General features: G+C 47.4%; 1 long non-coding RNA gene across 2 annotated transcripts in view, besides 1 other annotated feature; it reads left to right on the top strand.

Annotated features, from left to right (window-relative positions):
* The window catches only part of LOC102724968 (uncharacterized), a 75,521-nt gene continuing 59,818 nt past the window's right edge, over window positions 5,096-20,798 (top strand). Inside the window, exons 1-3 of one of the 2 annotated variants that reach the window (XR_001754596.2) lie at window positions 8,008-8,081; window positions 8,562-8,652; window positions 13,521-13,598. This is a non-coding gene — a long non-coding RNA (uncharacterized LOC102724968). Of the gene's footprint in view, window positions 5,276-8,007; window positions 8,082-8,561; window positions 8,653-13,520; window positions 13,599-20,798 lie in introns of those variants that run through there. The other variant, XR_001754597.1, reaches the window with a different exon arrangement.
* Window positions 5,158-5,307: a silencer, noted in NCBI's record as "fragment chr20:39272519-39272668 (GRCh37/hg19 assembly coordinates)". NCBI's record gives its function as "represses an EF-1alpha promoter that drives an FKBP-Casp9 reporter gene in an ReSE screen in HepG2 liver carcinoma cells {active_cell/tissue: HepG2}" and the evidence as "EXISTENCE:reporter gene assay evidence [ECO:0000049][PMID:32094911]".

Genomic DNA, 20,798 nt, shown 5'->3' with positions numbered 1-20,798 from the left:
CTCTGCTCATTTCTATCATTGCCCATCTTGGAATCCACAGACGGTCTCATAAACAAAGTTGTGTGCTCTGATGGGAAAACCAGATAAGACACACGTGAAAACCAGTGCCCTGTGTTTTGCACTGGGACCTTGGGTGCAGATCAAAAACTAAGCTCCATGTCCAGCCAGGTAGGCCCCACACTCCATTCTTAGAGCAGAAGAACTAATTCCAGCTCTACCTTCCATGGCTGGAGTCTGCTAGCCAGCCCTTCAGGCTCTGCCCAGAGCTGGGTGAAGAGGCAAATACTGACCCTGGCAGGCCCTCTCTGACATTACAGCCCTGGGATATGGGATCCTGCTTCCCTCAAGAGTCTGCAACCTGGAAAGACATGGAACCCACTTCATCCAGACACATAGGCCATTGCAGCTCCCACTACATTTACGACAGCTGTCCCCGTACTCAGGGACACACATGGAACACATTATCTCCCAAGGCCATCAGCAGGGAGAGGACAGGAATGCTTGTGTAGACAGAGCAAAATGATTCTGCTCTCCTGGCACAGGAGGGAGGCGGCTGTTTGCTCTCCCAAGACATTTCATTTTGCCCTCAGAGATTGGCAAGACATATCTGATGCACTGGAAAGCAGGCACATGGCTCACCATGTCCCCAAAAAGACACACCCTCATGTTTTATGACCAGAAGAACTCAGGTACAAGATTAGCCCCAAGCTAAACCCAACTCCCATCCCCTGACTGCACTGCATGAAAGCAGAAACTCCCTCCATTTGCAACAGAGCTGGAGCAGACCTCCTCACCCTGAAGCATGTTTTGACTAGTGACGGCCCTCGTGCCTTGCAGGTTGACAGAGAGCCTGCATGTGTGTGTTTCTGTTCAGGACAGTATGGTGTTGGTGGGCAGGCATCATCATTCCACGAGGCCTGCCACTCTGCTGTTCCCTGAGATCTCTGCTCTCCTAACTGTGAACCCAGGCTGCTTCCTGGCCAGGGTTCTGACCTTCCTTGCCCTGTCCCGGTCAGCTCCCTCTTGCTGTAGCCTCTGGCCTGGAAGTCCTTTTCGCCTTCTCTCCTCACTTGCATCTTGGATGAGGGCTTCCTTCTTTGGTGCTGTTGAGGACTCTGTCTGGGAGGGCTTTCCTCTGCTGCCTGCTTCATTCCCTGCCCGCTCCATTCCCTGCCTGCTCCATTCCCATGTGCTGTCTCCATCATGAGACTCTGGGTGTGTGAAGGGGTGAGAAATTCGTGTGAGTGCCTGTGACTGTGAGGGTTGTATCCATGGCTGATATCTGGCTGTTTGTGCGTGTGTATGTGTGAGTCTGTGCCGGCATGGGGAGGAGCACGGATATCTATGGTGGTGAATGTGCAGGTGTGACACCCTGTGTGCCCATGAGTGAGACCAGGGAGGGATGCAGGACTCTCACTTGTGGCATTAAGCCCACATGTGTGCAGCCTGCGGACATGTGATGTCGGAATGTGCCAGTGAGGGGCTGTGTGTGAGATACACACATATGCACATACACACAAGCACTGTGTGAAGAGGTGTGCAGGACCGTGGGCAAGGACATCTGCCTGTCAGGGCCCCACTCTGCACTGCTGGGGGCTCATTCTCAGCTCTTTACGAAGTCCAGGGCAGGGGCAAACCCTCCCTGGTGGGCCAAACCTGTCTGCTCTCTTTCTGTCCCACATAGGCTGGACTAGAGACAGTTCTGGGATTTGCTGAGGGAGAGGCAGGCCTAGGGCCTGGGAGAGTTGGTAAGAAGAGGAGGCCTGGCCTAGGGCAGGTGGATGGAGGAAAGAAGAGACCCCCTCAACCTGGCCTCTGGAGCCCTAGAGGGGACCAGAGCTTGCCTGGTCACACTTAGGTCTGAATTCAGCTCTTGTATTCCCAGCCATGCTCTCTCCAATTCTCTATGCTGCTTCCCCAAACTGGGGTAGGAATCACAAAGCAGGTGACAATGACTTTTCTTCCCCAGCTGTATGCAGAAGACCAGGGATGTCTCTCATCCTTATCACCAGTGTCCTAATGAAGCTTCAAGAAAAATGTTTGTTGAATGAATTAATGAAATGAGAGAGAATGCTTATGGTTGCTGGGGGAAGGAGAGAATATTTGAAACAAACTCACCCTACAACATGTGGGACAGGGCATGTGGTCGTGCAGGGTAGAGTGTGCGTGCATGTGTGCATGTGTGTGTGTGTGGATATGGGTGTGTGGAGGGAAAGAATCAGATAGCCACTCCCTCTGACCATAGCTGCCCCTAGAGCTGAAGTTTCCCAGGCGGGATTACAATCTACACGTTTCACCTTCCGGCTACTAGGAGGATGGCATGGGGGCTTTGGGGGGCTGAATGTCAGTCTGGGGCTCCGGTCTTCCTGGGAGGGGGCACAAGTCCTCAGCGGGGGATTTGTACCAGCCGCTAAGCAGATAATTGCTTGTCAGATTGATTGAAGGCTTTTCAAAATGTCTTTTCCTTGGAACACCCTCCCATTCCCCCCACCCCCCGATGAGTGGATTATTTGAGTTGGAACTGTTCCCCCTCAGTTTTTTTCCCCTCCTTTCTCAAAGTAGTAATTACTGCCGAGTAGCCCTCCGTGGCGTTTCCTGTCATTTGGAGGCTGAAGCCAGCGGCTGTTTCCTCTGCTGGGTGAAGGACGAGCAGGCCAATTAGGGAAATACCCCACCCCCTAGCCTGGCCCTGAGCCCCTGGGGCCCCTGGCGGCCTCGATGGGGCTAATGGGGCCTGGCAGGTGGAAAGGAACTGGTGGACTGATCAACTGAGGTAGTCCTGGCTCTCTTCCAAATCCTGAGACTGTCTTCATCCTTTGTGTCCTTGCTCCCTTGTGTGTGTGCGCGCACACACTCACGTGCGTCTAACTGTGTGTGTACATGTAAACTGTGCACAGGCTCTTGGGCCCCAGTAAAAATCTCAACCTGCGTCACCCACAGTGATTTTCCCAAGGGAGCTTAGCCTTGACCATTTCTTCAGATTTGAAGAAGTCTGCAAAGTATCTGCATTGTAAGTGGATCGATGGCTTGCAAGATGCATAGACAGGAGATAAAGCAAGAATAGTGAGAGGCTCATTGCTAAATCAAGGTAGTGGGTTTAGGGGCGCTCATGGCACAGTGCTTTCAACTCTTCCATGCTTTCAGAATATTCACAATAAAATGTGGGTAAAAAGTTTACAAGGTCGCTCTACAATCCTCCTATCCACCCCACCCACACTCAGGATTCGTAATCTCCGCTAGCCTTGAGTTTTGTTTTAATGCTGCTCCTCTTCCTCCTCCTCCTCCTCCTCCCTTCCATCTTCTCCTCTTCCTCCCTCTGAGACTTTGTTCTCAGTCACAGAAGCCAAAGCTGAGCAGGACGCAGACTAAGATGAGATGAAGAGTTGAGGCTCATGAGTCAAGATGGTTTGAGTCCATTCCAAGCTCTCCCTCTTTGTGACCTTGCGGGAGTGACTTAACAACTTTGTGCCTCAGTTTACTCATCTGTGAAATGAGGCTAATAACAATAGGACATTCATAAGGTTGTAGTGAGGGTTGAATGAGAGAATGCACGTAAAATGCTAAGCACAAAGCCTCAGTCCATAATCTGTGCTTAACAAATGTTTGGTAAACAAATAATAAAACGGACCTCATAAGGAGATGTGGACCTCGGAAAGAGATGGAAGGGAACATGTCAGAGAGATGAGCATGGCAGCGAATTGTGTGTTTGGGGGATCCCACGGGTTTCAACGTGTCTGGACCACGGATGGGTGGTGAAGTGTGGAGGGCTGGGAGTGAGAGGGAGGCTGAGAAGGATACTGGGACCGCTTTGCTTTAGTGATTATCAGCATGGTCTCTGGGATCAGGTGGCCCAGATCAAATCCCACCCCTACCACTTCCTAACTATATGACTTTGGATAACTGACTCATCTCCATGGCTTAGTTTTCTTATCTGTAGAAATGGGAATCCCAATAGTTCCTACCTTAGAGGGCTGAATTAACTGAGTTAATAAATGCAGAGAACTGCCATCTGGCCTGTGGGAAAGTCGGATAAAAGTGTTTGCTATGATTATCATTCTTAGACATGTGGACATGGGCTGCATGTGGTTGCACATGTGTGGTTGTCTCACATGTGTGTGAGTGTCTGTGTGCACGTGGGCATCTGCAGCCAGCACTTGTTTGTGGGTGTGTTTGTGTCTATATGTAAGGGTGTGGTGGGGACTGGGGTCAGGGAATCCATGGAGCAATTAAACCTCTGGGAGAAGATCCATCCATCCTGGGCAAAGAAGCCCTTTGGTGAGAAGTAGATGGCATCACTTAGAAATAATAATCAATATTACTTCCTTACTGAAAAGCCTCCAGAAGTTCCCCTTCATTCATTCAGTCGACAAACATTTGCAGAGCTCCTACTATGCAGCAGCCCCAGCCTCCCTTTCCATTTGCTTTTGGTTACATATAGCTTGTTCTTCCATGCACATTTCTCTTTGGCCTGCTAGACCCAAGTCAGATGCCGCTTTCTCTGAGAAGCTTTCCTGACTACAGAAGCCCATGCTGACGAGTTCCCTTGGCACCCAGGTTTTTATGCCCACAGCAAGGTCAGCGACTCTTGTCTAGTCACCACTGAATCCCCAGCACCAGGTGAGAGCCTCAGCCCAAGTGTTTTGAATGAGTGGATGAGTGAATTGTTCAACAGGAGGACACCCACAAGGGGTCCCGATTCTGCGGTCCAGTTCAACCAAGAGCCTGGGAGCTGGGGTTCACCAGCTTCTTAATTCCTGCCACTGTCACTTCCATCTGTGCCACTGGCTCCCCACTAGGAAGGCAGCAGAGCCTGGATGCAGACGGCTCAGTAAGAGTTAAAAGAGCAGTAGTAGGCGTTGGCTGCTGGGGACAGTGAGCTCCCCAAGGCTGCTAGAAATGTTGGAAGCAGAGGGAAGCAGGGCAGGAAAGTGGTCAGCGTCCTTCAGATAAAGAGGGCATTTGACCTTGGGTGCAGTCCAAGGCCCTTCCCTGGAGGCCCCTAGCATGCCAGGCCCTGACCCCAAGGGGAGGCCAAGGAAGCTGCCTTGACTGCAGGAGCCACACATGGGGCTGGACACTAAGCCTCGCATTATCTCCTCAGGCCACACGTTGGCTAGGAGTGTTGGGCACACAGCAGGAATGGCTCACAGGAAGCTGGAGGAGTTTCTGTCTTTCTAAGGGTCAGAGGTGGCTGAGATTTGGCAGTCAGGGAAATGGGAATTTCCTGTGTCCCTCCCCGGAGCTGAGACTGGCAGCAGGAACCCAGACGGAACTGGTAGGCCAGAAATGCAAAGATGTGATTTTCACGGCCTGTTCCCCCTGCAAGACGTAGCGGGATTGGATTTCACTGTATATACATGCATAGCATGTGTGCATGTGTGTGCGTGCTCACATGTGCATAGTGTGGGCATGTGCACATACATGTGCATAGTGTGTGTGTGCATGCACACATGTATAGTAGCTGTGGGGCAAAAATTCGGGGTTTGTGTGTCTCTAGATGAATCTGTTTTTGTGCCCAAATTTGTCTGCCTTGTTGTGAATACTCTTGGTATATGTGTGAAGCAGGAATTTGTGTGTGTCCATGTGTGCTTATATATGTAAACATACATCTACCTGAGGTGTATGTAAGCCTGTGTGCTGAACACATGTGTATGAATGCATAGGGGGCCTGATTTTAACATATGTATGTGTGTGTTGGGGCGGGGTGCACATCCTGAAAAACAGTTTTGGAGCCTAGCAAGATGGAACCACCGAAGGAGGGGACACAAAGCCATGATGCTGGAAACATCTGTCCCTTCTTTTGGCCCTGGGGTCTCTGGAGAGGGTTTTATGTTTCCTTCTTGCCAAGAAGGAAAATGTGACGCTTCTAACTCAAATATACGAGCACAGTCACTCTCTATTAAATAAGATGCCCAGTTTGGCTCACCCTGGGTTATAATTGGAGACAAGTTATTGGAAGGAGTGGCAGGAGGATCATCTTTAAGGATGAGGGGTGAGCAGAACTTCCCTTCTGCTAGGGAGGGGTCCTAAACAAGGTCCACCCCAGCCCAGCCCCATCTGGCCCCAGAGGGACACCTCAGGCAGGAGTAGGTGCAGCATCAGCAGTGGGTCTTAAGGCATCTGGTTGGAAAGGTGGTCCCTGCCTTGAATGACCACACATGAGCCCCCTAAACTCAGGAGCTCTGAAAGCACAGAGGAAGAGGCCACTGCTAAAAGATCTCACAGAGTGGGGAGAGTTTGAGTAGAATCTTCGCCTTCACAGGATTGAAGAAATTTGTTAAATCCGGCATTTGTGTGATATTTGCTCAATGTCCGTTTTGAACAGACCAGGAGTTGGTGAACTAGAATCAATAGGCCAAATGTGGCCTACTGCCTTTTTTTGTAAATAAAGTTTTATGGGAACACAGCCATACCCAGCTAATACCGTCTATGACTGCACCCACACTACAACAGCAGAGTGGAGTAGTTGTGACACAGACCCTATGGCCTGCAAAGCCTAACTATTTACGATCTGTCTCTTTACAGACAAAAATTTGCTGACCCCTGCACTAGACTGTTGATTTCATAAGGGCAGGAAGGATAAGCTCAACACATAGCAAGTGCTTAATAAGTATCAATTGAATGAATGAATGACTTAATTTTGGAGGATGATTCCAGGAAGAGGAAATAGTGTATGCTGAGGCATGGGGCCAAGAAACAACCCTAGGTGTACTGGTGATGGGAGGGTGGAGCACAGAGAAAATACGCACACACAAACACACACACACTCACACACAGTACACACATGCACACACACGCACACACAAATGCACGCGTGAATGCACACACACACACACATGCATGCAAGCATGCTGGGGAATGTGGCAGCACAGAGGTTAACACAGCAGAACGAGTGTTTGGCCAGGGAAGGCATCTCTGAGGAGGTGACACTGGACAGTATCCTGCAGACCTGCAGGCATTTTGCAGGAGAAGATGGAGGAACAGCATTCCAGGTGGTTGGACCGGCAGAGGCAAAGGCCTGGAGGCCTGACGGAAGGAAGTGTGGGTGCTGGGCACCACTAATTACACTGAATCTATTGCATATGCCTGTGATGGGACCCTTGGGCTGACATGAAGCTAGAGAGGACTTTAGGGGCAGATTTGCAGGGCCTGGAAGGGCTGTCCTCAGGGAGTGTGGACTTTGGTCTCTGGGCACTGGGGAATCAATCACTGGGGGTGTCAGTGGAGACTCCAGGGAGACCCAGGTAGGTGAGGAATTCAGGACTCTGGGCAGGCCGCTTTTCTTCTCTAGACTAGTTTTCGTGGCAAAATGGGAGTGATAATGCCTGCCTCCCAGAGTAGGGGAAGGATTACCTGAGATCAGAGATGTGAGAAATTCAGCCTGTGCCTGGCACAGAGTGGCTAACAAGCAGGGTTGTTGGACAAAACGCAGGACACCCAGTTAAAGTTGAATTTCAGATAAATAACAAACCATGTTTTAGTATAACCATGTTCCAAATATTGCACGAGACATGCTTATACTGAAAAATTCTTCATTGTTTTTCTGAAATTCAAAAATTTCAGAAATTCAAAAGTTCTAACTCAGTGGCTTGTATTATTCTTTGCTAAATCTGGCAACCTAACTGCCCAGGGATGCTGGCTGAACCTGGGTCTTTGTTGGTGGCTTCAAGGCCCTGAAAACCTGCCAGTGATGCAAGAAACAGGATGACAAGCTTGTGGGGCTGAACACTGGGGAGGTGAGGTGTCATGGAACCCAGTCATCTTGGCTAATGGGGAAGGAAGTAAAGGCTCAGAGAGGGGAAGGAACTAGCTGAAGGTCACCCAGCCAGATGAGGTCCTAGTGTTCTGCTTTTCTCCGTGGCTGGTCAAGAGAGAACTTTGACTCATGGGGGTGTTCCTTGGGACAGCTTAGAGGGATTCTACCAGACAGATGTGAGAATTCCGAGTACAGCTTCTAGAATCTTCAGGGCCATCCCAGTCTTGGCAGCAGATGCAGCGTGTGATCTTCCCCACATCCCTCACCCCATCCATGCCTCAATTCATCCAGCCATAAATTGGGTCTAATTACACCCACCTCACAGGTGAGTTGTGAGGATTAATTAATGTTTGTAAAGGCTTTGTAATCCTTGGATGAAAGATGCTCCTTACATACAAAGGGTCATTATTTTTATTATTATACAAGTGCCAAGTATTATTACCTTAATTAGCTTTTCTAGATATCAAAAGCAATTAGGCAGATCACTTGTTGAATGCCATTTTGGAAACCCAAGTCACAGAAACTCACACATTCACCTGTCATCTCACATTTTTGGCAAGGGGCCAACCTAGGCCAAAAGGTAGGGCTGAGATTTGCAAAAAAAAAATTTGTTTCTCTTTCTGGCCAAGTTTTACCCCATTGCAAAATTTTCCAGGCATTTAAAAGTACCTAAAAAACAGAGGCTTTCGTTTTTGTTTTTGTGGAAATTCTTATAAAGGGGGTTTTTCGGGGAGAAGGCTTAGTTTTGCAGCACAGGCAACCTGGTCTAAGAATGTCAATTTGTCCTGTTTTCCCTGATGTACAGAGAAGACCAGGACTTAGCCACCAGAGCCAGTCCAAGTGAGGTGAAGGCATCTCTCGATGGGGGACTACTGTGTTTCAAGCTCTATCCCAATGTATGTATATTTTAAAATTATAATCCCATGCAGTAGGTAGGAGCTTTCTGACCTTCATTTTACAAACAAGGACACTGTGGCTCAGAGATATTAAGTGACACAGCCAGGAAGTACAAGAAGAATACAAACCCAGGTCTTGCTGATTCCATAACCTACATCTAGGTTTGATGCAGTTTCTACCTCTCTGTGTTACCTGGAATCTACCTGGCCTGGGTCTAAACTGACTCATAAGTAGTCAAGAGGTTTTCTGGTATTTAAGAGATGGGACCATATAGACTGAGTAGGCCACTGTGGTGCTGGGGGCCACCTGCAACCTCAGCCTGGTGAATCTGCTCAGGCCTTGGTTCAACATGGCTTTGGCTGGTCAGGGTCTTTGGAGTTGGCTCAAAACCCCGGGGTTTAGGCAGAGGAGGGGACTGTGGCCTGGTTGTGTCCATTAGGGCAGGCAGAACAGGTCAGGGCAGAAATCAGGGGGGTGAGCCTCCCTCTGTACTGTCCAGTTAGTTGGGGTGGGTGGAGAGGGGTGAGGAGCTGGCTGTAATTAACTTTACCAGCGTCCTTAACAGAGGTGAGAGAACCTTTCCCCTACTTCCCTTTCTACTCTGTCCAGCTTCCTCAATGGCCTTGAGGACCTTCCCAAAGCTGTGACTAGGCCAGGGAGCACTGAATTGAGCCATGCTGCCAGTGTGTTCCAAACCAAGATTATATCCCAGCTCTGCAGTTCTGCAAAACCATTTTCTTTTTACAGAACTTCCCTGAGGGCTGGGTTGGGGCCTTTGTGAAGTCAGTGGGTGCATTAAGAGATTGTTGGAGTGTTGGGGGATTGAAGGATGGAAGGAGGGAGGAGTTGACAGTGTAGGAAGAGGTTGACATATTGGAATGGAATGGAAGGGTTGCTGAATGGACAGATGAATGAGATGGTAGATGGGGTTAGGTATTGGTGGATTAGACATGGAATTGTATGTATAAATGGAAGGGAGCATGGCTCCCTGAAGGGATGGGTTAGCATGTGAATGTAGGAATTGATGAGGGTGGAAGTAAATGTAGAGAGGGGTTGGAAATTTTGGTGGTTGGATGGAGGATTTGGAAAAAGAAGGGATGGTAGGTGAAGAGTTGGAGGAAGGGGGAGGGGTTGACAAATGTATGGACAAGTTGGCAGATGGGTGGAGGGATTGGTGGATGGATGAAGGAGTTTGGAAGATAAGTGGAGAATGGTGCATGGATAGAGAGAAGGTCAGATGGAGAGGAGCTGGGAAATACAGGGGCTGATTCATGGATGGAAGGATTGGCATGTGGATAGTGGAAATGGTGGTGACTGAAGGTTCTGTGGAGGTTGAAGGAGTTAGAGGAAGGGTGGAAAAGTTGGCCTATAAAGAAACATGAATCGATGGAAGAGTGTTTGGCAGGTGGGTAGGCAGTTGGTAGAAGGATGAGGAGTGGGATTTTGGAGCTTCCGGTGGGTGAAAGTTTAGATGGATGGGTGGAGGTGGGTAAATGGAAGACGGTAGATACAGGAGGAGATGTCAGATAGGAGAAAGGATTGGCAGATGGGGAGAGGAGGTGGTAAAGGGGCAGAAAAAAATGGCAGACTGGCAAAACCCTCTGGGGAAAGTTATAGGGATAGGTAGAAGTGTGGGAAAGCTGTCTAAATCCATAATGGAAGAATTGGCTTTGTGGCTTAGGCATTAGCCCCGACAGACCTCCCCTTATTTCCTTGGGCCTCAGACACCTTTTGCCTGTGGGTGCTTAGGGACCATTCCAGGTAGTAGAAACCTTCAGTGCCCAGCTCAGTAGGTGACCCTGACCGTCCTCTCCCTCCCCTCTTCCCTCCGCCTTCAGAACCAGGCTCTCCTGAGGCTCATATATCCCCAGTCTGGCAGGCTTTCTGTAATTAACTCTGCAACATTAGCCCAAAAGGTGGGGCAGGTGGGGCTGTGAAGAAAGGAGCTGACTCAGAGGCAGATGTCTATCTCCTGCTGCTGTGTCAAGTGTGGCCACTGTCCAGCACAATGGGGGCAGTGGCCAGGGTGCCTCCCTTCCCCACCAGCTGTCTTGGGTTCCACTCTGGTCTCCCCCCAAAAACTTGGGACCAAGGGAGAAAGTTAATTATGTAGGAACCTGGCAGTCACCTCTCTCTCTCTCTGTCTGTCTTTCCCTTTCTCTGTCTCTCTCATTCTGACTCTCCCTTCTATTCTCACCTCTTTCATCCATCTTTTTCTCTTCTTCTATACCTATTTCTCCCATTTATTCTCTGTTTCTATTTTTCTTTGTCTCTGATTCTTTCTCATTTTATGTCTTGTTCCCTTTCTCTCCCTCCTTTATATCTAGGTTACTTCCCGCTTGCTGTTTTTGGTGGTTCCCCCTCCCCCTTTCCTCTGTCATTTTCTCCATTTTCATCTGTTTTCTTTTCTGCCTTTCTTTGCCTCTCTCATGGGCAGGTCTCCACACCTCGCAATGGAAGCCTGTTTCTTTCTTCTGCACCGTCTCTCCTATCATATGTGTCTTTACACAAGAGCAGAATAGTTTTGAGGGATGTTCTCTCCTGGGTTTGTGTTTTTTTTTGAGATGGAGTCTTGCTCTACCGCCCAGGCTGGAGTGCAGTGGTGCGATCTTGGCTCACTGCAACCTCTGCTTCCTGGGTTCAAGCAATTCTCCTGCCTCAGCCTCCCTAGAAGCTGGGATTATAGGCACCTGCCACCATGCCTGGCTAATTTTTGTGTTTTTAGTAGAGGCGGGATTTCACCATCTTGGCCAGGTTGGTCTTGAACTCCTGACATCAGGTGATCTGCCTGCCTCGGCCTCCCAAAGTGCTGGGATTATAGGCATGAGCCATCATGTCCAGCCCTCTCCTGGGTTTTTAATTAGGCTTAGAATCTTCTCAGAAAGCTTTTCTCCTTTTCCTATTGATTTGTAATAAAAATGGGATAATCAACCCACTGGGAACCTCTGGCCAGAGCTAGAGGGGAAACAGGGGAGAGAAAATAGTGGCCACTCTGCAGACAACAGGCCCTTGTCAAGGAAGCCTCTTCCCGTGTCACAGTGGATGAGCCTTTGTTGGGGGCACAGAGGAGCAGGATCCTGGCATGGACACAGGGGAAAACCTGATATTGCGTTGACCATCTCATGGGGCCCAGTTTTCTTCTGAAGGAGCTCACAAAATACCATAGTGGTCAAAGTACTGGTGTTTGAGAGGCCCGGGTTCAAGTCTCAGCCCCAACACCACTCACTAGCTGTGGAATCTCAGACAGGTGACTTAGCCTCTCTGATTCTCACTTTGCTCATCTCTAAAATAAGACTAACAAGAATGTTCTTGTGGAGTTGTTCAGAAAATTAAATGAGAATGTTGGAAGAAAAGCACCCGTATCAGTCATGATTCAGCCAGAGAAGCAAAACCACTAAGAATGGCATAAACTGAGGGCTTTCTTATGAGGGTTTGATCCTGTGCAGTTGTGGAAGCTGGTTCAACCATCTACAGGGGGCCATTGCTTCGGTGTCTGGGCCTACAGTCAACAGAACAAGCAGGTGGGGAAGGAAGGATTGACAGGAACTGTAGGGCAAGGGCAAAGCAGAATGTGAGCTGGATTATATAAGGAGGCATTGAATCTGCATAGGTCTCTTATCTCCTCGAACTCCCCAACTTTGATGATGTGAGTAACCTGCTGGAGAAGTGATGGCTATTGTCACATTGCTGCACACATTCATGGCCAGGAGTTGAGGAGGCTGGAGGAGGAGGCCTGGCAGGAAGTGGAGGAGCTACAATCTGGGTGCTGCCCTATGTCAACCAGCAATACCTACCAGGGGCAGAGAGGCCTAAAGTTACACAGCTGGTGAGTGATGGCTCTTCCATCCGACTGCAAGTCCATGGTTCCACTGTACACACTGTGCCCTCAGTGGGAGTGGAGACATTCATGGACTTGTGTCATTGAGAAGCAGTCTAAGGAAGATGAGGCCCAGGTATCCATCTTTCCATAGGTCCTGCTTCCCCTTCTCCCATGACTTCCAGAGCATGTTCTGTTCACAGTACATTTTTAGCTCTCGGAATCTGAATTGAGGTTGTGGCTGGGCTAACCCACATCTTGGTGGCAAGGCCCAAGATTTGGAGATGAGGTGATGACTTGTCATGTACGGCAGTGGCAGTGGCTCAACACTAAGTGATCTGTGACCCCTTTGCATGCCTGGGAAGAAAGTGGCTTACTAAGAAGGAGCCCATCCAAGGACTAAATTTCCCAGGTCCTTTTGCAAAGGTGGGGCCTATGACATGTGAGTGGAAGGAATGTGCATCACTTTCTGGCCAGGGAGCTTAAGAAGAAGGTGGAGTTTCTTCATTTGTTTGCTCTCCTGCCAGTGGGATGTCAACACTCAGTGTAATCTTAGAAACCAAGTGTTGATTATGGTGGAGACTTCATCAGCCTGGGTCATTGACCTAACCCAGTGGTTCTCAAAGTGTGATCCCCAGACCAGCAGCATCAGCATTGTCTGGGAATGTGTTAGAGATGAAAAATCTCAGGCACCACCCTAGATCTACTTAATCTGAAAACTCTGGGGTGGGGCTCAGTCATCTGTGCTTTAAAAAACTTCCAGGGGAATCTAATGCATGCTCAAGCTTGAAACACCCTGCTCCTCTTAGTTACCATTCCATTCATAGCTCCTGAATGGACAGCCAGGCTCATGACGGCTCAGGAGCTTTACTGCTTACTCCCATGGCCATCCTCACCTTCCACCCCACCCTTGCCTCTCAGGGGGTTTCATGAAGAAGACAGCAGTGGCACATGCTCTATATAATTCTTAACATGAAAGAAGCAGAGGAAAATGGCATTCTCATGAAATAATTCATTAATTCCTTCCTCATTTTTTCATTCCCTGAACAGCCATAGAGAAGCATTAGGTTGACTGGAAAACTTCCCTGGAGGAGCTACAAAATACAGTTTGGATCAACAGCCCTATAGGTAGGTTTTATTATCACCACAGTTTTATAGATGCAAAACTTGAGGTTCAGGGAGTGTGGGTGAGAGGTGGGGCCAGGATTCAAGTCTGGTTCTCTCTGCCTCCATCTTCCACATTTTTTGGCACTCTCATGGCTTCCACGCTTGCATTTCCAGGTGGTTGGTCTTTTGCAAACAGAACTCACCAATTGCAACCTCTTTGCACCTAAGGAAGAATCACATCAGGCATCCAGATCATTTGAGAAAAATCTGCTTGTCACATTTCCCCAAATATGTTACACAGGGGCATATGTTTGCATTATGCCTGTGACTATAAATTCAATACATCCTGAAAGAGTGAATTAATGAGTTAATTAGCAACTGGGTAGCTAGCTTGTCCTCATCTAAGTTTGCTTATCTAGAAACTTCTTGTATTTTTCCAGCTTGAGAAAATATTTTCTGCAAAGAAGCTGGCATCCAGCTGTAATTGCTGCAATTGTTTGTGGAGGGCAAACAAATGGACATAGTCCTCGTGGAAGATGAATGACATGGTACAGGTTAGGGCAGTGGTTCTCAAACTTTAACATGTGTTCAAGAATCACCTGTAGAACGCCAGAACACAGATTTCCGTGACCCACCCCAGAGTTTAAGATGTGGTAGTTCTGGGACAGACCCCCAAATTTGCATTTCTAACAATTTCCTAGATGATGCTGATGCTGCTTCTGTGGGAACCACACTTTGAGAACCACTGGATTAGGGTAATCTAGATCCTGCAACAAAACGGCAATGGCTTAACGCTGTGAGCATGTATTTCCCACTTCCTTACAGGGGAATGACTGAATATGGTGTGATATGACATAGGATACAGCTATGAAATGAATCAAATATAAGTGGATTGATCTGAAGTGATAGCTGTGGTCTGATGACTGAGATAAGCAACTTGCCAAGAAATTTATATAGCATAATCTCATTTTCGTAAAACAAAACAAAAAACTAAACCAAAACCAAAATAAAACAACCTACTTCTCCAAACCTCAAGCCGTATCTATGTTTTATAAATATAGGACAAAATACATAAGACTATACCTGATTATTAACATAAGGGTACCTCTGAAAGTTAAGGGACATTATTAGCTTTCTAATAATATTCCCTTATTATTGATTCATTCATCAAAACTGCCATGGTTCTGACATCATGGGCATCCTAAGAGGAGGTAATGTTTAAAATAATTCTAAAATGCAAGAAATAATGAAAATCACTCAGCTCATAAAAGGGTGGATTCAAGGCTGCTTTGTTTCTTTGTATGTGTAGCCCCCGACAGGGATGGGGCAGTGTTTCTTCTGTCTAGAGGGCACATGATGCTGGAATCATGGCAGTTTTGTTGAATGAATGAATGACCATGTCAGTGACCACATGCATGCACTGAGAATCTAACTTTTGGGGGCCAAGGCATGCCTACGAGAGCAAACCATCTAGGAGCCCCCAAATGGGGGTGTATTGAGAAGGCAGCTACTCCAGGATGTACTCCATGATGCCCTGGCTTTAGATGGGTGAGTATTGCACCAGCTTAACCCTCCCTTCTTGAGTCTAAGTCTCTGTTGGATCCCAGAGGTTCATCCTCGAAACTGATAGTAAGCGGTAGAGGCTTCAGCACTGATAAGCAAGGACGTATTTCTCCCAAAGGAGGGAAGTAGAGATGTGACTCAATAGACACCAAAATCAGAGTCTTTGGGCCCAAAGTGTCCCAAATAAAGCCAGGGTAGGATTCCAGACTCTACGCTCACAGGCTGCAGTCTCTTCCTCCTTGGTGAATGGCTAGGCTGACTTTCACAGGGATATTAGAGACCGGGTTCCTTGGGGTTTGTGAGCCCACAGTGGGAGGGCTGCTTTCAAAGTTCACTTAATTACACCTCCGAGCAGGTTCAGGGGGCTCTTGGGCACAGGGGCCTTGGGCCATGTGTTGGGGTCTCTGATAGCCCTCCTTGGTGCTGGCTTTCAGGGAGGCTGAGGCTGAGTTATACCCTGCAGCTATGCCTAGTGATCTGGTTCCTTATGGGAAGTTGGGAGGACAAATCAGCTTGAGAGCCACTTGCAGTTATTCAGTGGGGGAAGAGAGGAGATCATTTCATGTGGCGGAGACGGTGGGGGGAGGAGGGAAGGGAGTTCTTAGGGGGAGAATCTCTGAGGAAAGGATCCAGTCCACAAGGTTAAGACAGGAAGTCCCTTCATGAGAACTAAAATCATCAGCAACTTGATTCAGGCTGCTTGGCACAGGGTAATAAGCACCAAATAGGAAATTTGGATCCCAGTTCAGCCAATGTTTAGCTGTGTGGCCATGTGCCAGGCTTTTTGCTTAGTTAAATGTCAGAAATAGTGGCTGCATTCATCTTCACAACAGTCCTATGCAGTAGGTGTAGTCACCATCCACATCTGCATATGGGAAAACAGAGGCTCAGAAGATCTCACAGCTAGAAAATATCAGAGTTAGACCTGAGCTCAGGCTCTGTGCTGGTGTTTTCATTACTGGCATTTCTTTTTTCTTTCTTTTTTTTGGTTGAGTACTCATATTTCTATATCTTCTCTCTTAAATTCTCTGAACCTCACTTTAGGGTTCACCTATAAAAAGGGTTTGTATTCATCAATTGCCAGCCAAGAAATGGGAATTGCTCAAGGTTTTTCAAACAAAGAAAATTTAATACAGGGAGTTAGTCACACAAATGACTGAAGACACTGAGAGGCAATTCAGATTTTAGTAAGAGCCGGAAGCTGCACCTGCCCCCTTAGGGCTGCAGGAACAATGGGAGGAGGTATTGTTATCAGATTCTAGGAGTCTGGCCATTGGCAGAAGCTAAGACCATGTTGGTTTTTGCCCCGTGGGTGTGGCACCATAGCAGTAATTACTGCCAGAGATGTCACTAGGAGCAGAGGGGAAGGGAGAAACATATCCTGGCTTCTCCCTTGTAGTCTTGCTCACATGCTTCCCATTGGTTAAAATTACCCTGATGCCGGAGGACAAGGGACCCTGGGGAGCGTAGATCCCACAGGAGGTCAGAGGAAGGGTGCCAAATGGATCTAAGACCAGACAGGCTGTTGACGAGTTCAGAGCTAAGGGTCGTTGGGAGTACTAAAGAAGACCATGTGGGACACAACGTGACATAGGGTGACAAAACTTGTAGGGCACTGCGTGTGTGACCAATCCGGTTGATTACCGGCTACCACTGTCAGATAGGAACAGAATAATAGACTAAACCCCAGAAAGGTTTAGAACATAGGAAGGAAATAACAAAATAAGAGCAAAAGTTAATAATACAAACATAAGGCCTGTTAGGGAGGTTCAACAAACCCAAATGGACTCTACAAAAAAAGCTAGAAATGAAAAGGAAAGTCTCGCTACATATACAGCAGACAGACATTACAAATAACAAAACGATAGGTGAATAATTTTATACCAAAACATTGGACATACATTTTTTTTTTTTTTTCTGAGATGGAGTCTCACTCTGTTGCCCAGGCTAGAGTGCAGTGGCGTGATCTTGGCTCACTGCAACCTCTGCCTCCCGGGTTCAAGCAATTCTCCTGCCTCAGCCTCCTGAGTAGCTGGGATTACAGGCATGTGCCACCACGCCCAGCTAATTTTTGTATTGTTAGTAGAGACAGGGTTTTACAGTGTTGGTCAGGCTGGTCTTGAACTCCTGACCTCATGTGATCTGCCCACTTCGGCCTCCCAAAGTGTTGGGATTACAGGTGTGAGCCACTGTGCCTGGTCACCAAAACATTGGACATCTTTATGAAGGGAATGCTTCTAGGAAAAATATAATTTGCCAAAACTGACTTAAGTAAAAATAAACAATTCAAATAGATCTATGGCCATTATCTTATTATTCCAGACAAAATAGTATAATTCCTATTTTATGAATAAGGAAATTGAGGCCTAGAGAGGTGAAGAAAATTGCTTAAGAATCTGCAGGTTGGAAGGGGCGGAGGCAGAGCCAGGTGTGTCTGGATGGCAGGATTCTTTCTCCTGTGCTGGGAGGTGGGAGGAGGTGATAGGGCGAGGCCCCTGCTGGGAAATTCCCCAGAGATGCCTGCTATTTGGGTTGGTCAACTACTAGACACTTTTAATGCGCCTCTAGGAGAGGCATTTGGCACCTGAATTTCCCCTGAAGGTTTCACCATCACCGTCTCCAATTAAAGTAGCACAGCAGCCCTGCATCGCCTGGAGAACATTCAGTACCACCCATCTGAGGGGAGCAGGATAGGGCAGCCCGTGCCTTGGCCCTCGGCCCTTTGACTCAGCAACTGCCCAGGCCCAAGAATGCCCAGTGCCTGACTGGGCGCCCACAGCCGCAGCCCAGGCCTCTGAGCGAGTTTGCCTCTTATGAAGAAGCAGGTGGCGGCTTGCTGCAGAGTCCATGTGGGTGACAGACTCCCACCATTTGAGGCCTCCAAGAAGCCCACACCCTGTGGGTGGGAAATGAGTCTTGAAATGGAAATTGTGATTGAAGATGCAATGGCTGACCTTGGCCATGAGAACCCTTGTCAAGTGGCATCTCTCTGTCTGTTTTGCATCCCTTCACCCTTTCTCTTGGGAATATCACCTCACCCTTCCCTTCTTAGGGTTCTGGTGAGGTTGCCAAGGACAATATCCTACCATCTGTGGCCACATGAGGCAAGCTGACGAGCTCTTCCCTTGGTTGATGCTAAACAGCAATGATGTCAGCCTGGGGTTGTCTGGGGACATGCCCACTGCCCTCTGCATCACGATAGCTAGAGGAGAAAATGAGGAAATGTACAGAGGGACACAAAGCTGAGAGAAAGTGGAGATGCCTGACAATATTATTTGAGCTCCTTGATCCAGATAAGCATGCAGTACCATTACCCCATTTCCCTTCTGTCGTAGGGGACAATACTGTCTTTAAAAAAATTTTTTTTGAAACAGAGTCTCATTCTGTGGCCCAGGCTGGAGTGCAGTCGTGCGATCTCAGCTCACTGCAACCTCTGCCTCTGGGATTCAAGCAATTCTCCTGCCTCAGCCTCCCGAGTAGCTGGGACTACAGGCGCCCTCCACCATGCCTAGCTAATTTTTGTGTTTTTAGTAGAAACAGGGTTTAGCTATGTTGGGCAGGCTGGTCTCAATCTCCTGACCTCAAGGGATCTGCCTGCCTTGGCCTCCCAAAGTGCGGGATTGCAGTCGTGAGCCTCCATGCTCTGCCAATCTTGCCTTTTTATTCTTAAATATGTTTGAGTTGGGCTTTTTTCTATTGAAACCCAAAGAGTCCTGACTAACACAGTTTGTCTTGGCTTCCCTCTTTCTGTGTCCCTTCTCAGTGACTAATTTCTCCGACACCCTACGACTCCCCTCAAGTGCTCTCAGGAAACGGGCCACACAACGCATTCAACTAGCTGTTTTTAGTTGAAATGTTTCGCTTGGCCCTGAATATTTTAATGGTTGGCATAATGATAAAGAATCATGAAAAAGAGCCTGCAGAGGTGGAGACTCAATAAAACATATCTGCCTGGGGAAGGGGTAGACAGAAATATTCATCACTGCTAACATTGATTGAGTCAGAAATGGTGCCCTGTGCTCCCAGTGAATCAGCTCATTTCATCTGCACAGTGACTCTACACTTAGCTTCTATTGTTTTTTCTGTTTTACAGATGAGGAAACTGAGGTTGCAGAGCTTAGATAATTTGCCTAGAGTCACAGAGTTAGGAAGCGGTGGTGCCAAATTTTGAAGTGAGGAATTTTACTTTGCAGTGTATGTTCTGAACCACTTTGTTCACTTAGATAATTAAGTGACTTAAACAAGTTTAGCTTGGTGAAATTGGTTGGCCGCGGTAGGGGGGAGTTCTGGGCTTTTTTCAAAATTATCTTTAATGTATTTAATACAGTTTTCTTAATTTAAAGACACTTAAATAGAAAAGGTATTTTTATTTTGAGGGGGGTTGCATAAGAAATGCTGTGAGTTAAAAGAAGAAACTAAAACAAACAAACAGTAAACCCTGAAGCAACCCTTTCCATGGCTGCCAGAGTTCCCCCACCAACACAAAGTGATTCTGTTCTCTTCGTTAAAGGAAAAGCCCCTCTGCCTGGAGGTTAAAGGCTGTATTTCAGCACCTGACTGAAAGCTCTCCAAATCTGGTCCCGACCACTTTCCCAAAACTACCCACGGCAGCCACTGCCCTGAGGCAGCCTCACTGAGCAGCCCCTGAGGTTTTTCAGCTTTAGAGTCCTTGCTAGCAGTCCTAGCAATGTATTCCCATGGCCATGTGGTTCTGCCAAATTTGTGAAAATAAGATATTTAAACTGATATAGGTTAAGGCCACTCTCTCTTCTTCTCTGATATTTGTACCATTCCTCTGTCTCTTCTGTACTGTTAGAGCGGTCCCAAGGACTTTGGGAATCTGGCTAAGAAGATACTGAGTTGGGGATACACTTAGTTTGGGCTTATAGCTGTGTGATTTGCAGTCGCTTCCATATACGGGTAAGTAATTGCTAATCATCCCAGTGTCGAAATCTGCTTCCAAGGACACTGGTACCACCTACTGTGCCGACTCACATGTGATGTGTGAATGTTGCCAAGTGAAGGTTTGGGGCCAGAGGCTGTTTCACGACGTGAACGTGTTCTGTGGTGCCCAAAGTATGGCGGAGAAACCAAGTTTGAAATGTACAGAGCTGGAAGCTAGTCTGTGGACAATCCTTACAAGTTCCAGAGCTCAAATACGAAAAAAATTCATGGAGGTTTTGCCAAACTTTGTGACAATCCTTAAAAAATACAAAGGATATGAACAAAGAGTTAGGAAGTGGAGAGACATTTTCTAAATTATCAGTAATAAAAGTCAAACTGATCAACCATTAATATTATAAAACTTGTTATACTACTACTGACATGGGAAGAGACAAAGAGAATGAAGCCAAAACAAGTAGGAAAAACAATGTTATCAAAGTAGGTCGGCAGTTCATTAATGCACAAAATGGCTATTTTTCTGAATGGCTGAGATGTTTCTGGTACTATTCAGCTTTTTATTGACAAAATTTATAATTAGTTGTAATTTCTTTTCTCATTCTAAGTGAATATTCCCTTTTGCTCCTACATTTTTAAAAATCATCTTTATTGAGGTATAAATATACAATGAAATCCACACACCTAAGGGGACTGTTTGTGAGTTTTGACAAATGTATATACTTGGGTAACCATCACTGCAATCAAAGCATAGAACAT

The sequence above is a fragment of the Homo sapiens genome, chromosome 20 (assembly GCF_000001405.40).
Source record: "Homo sapiens chromosome 20, GRCh38.p14 Primary Assembly".
NCBI classification, from domain to species: Eukaryota; Metazoa; Chordata; class Mammalia; order Primates; family Hominidae; genus Homo; species Homo sapiens.
This window is presented reverse-complemented; position numbering and strand designations above follow the sequence as displayed.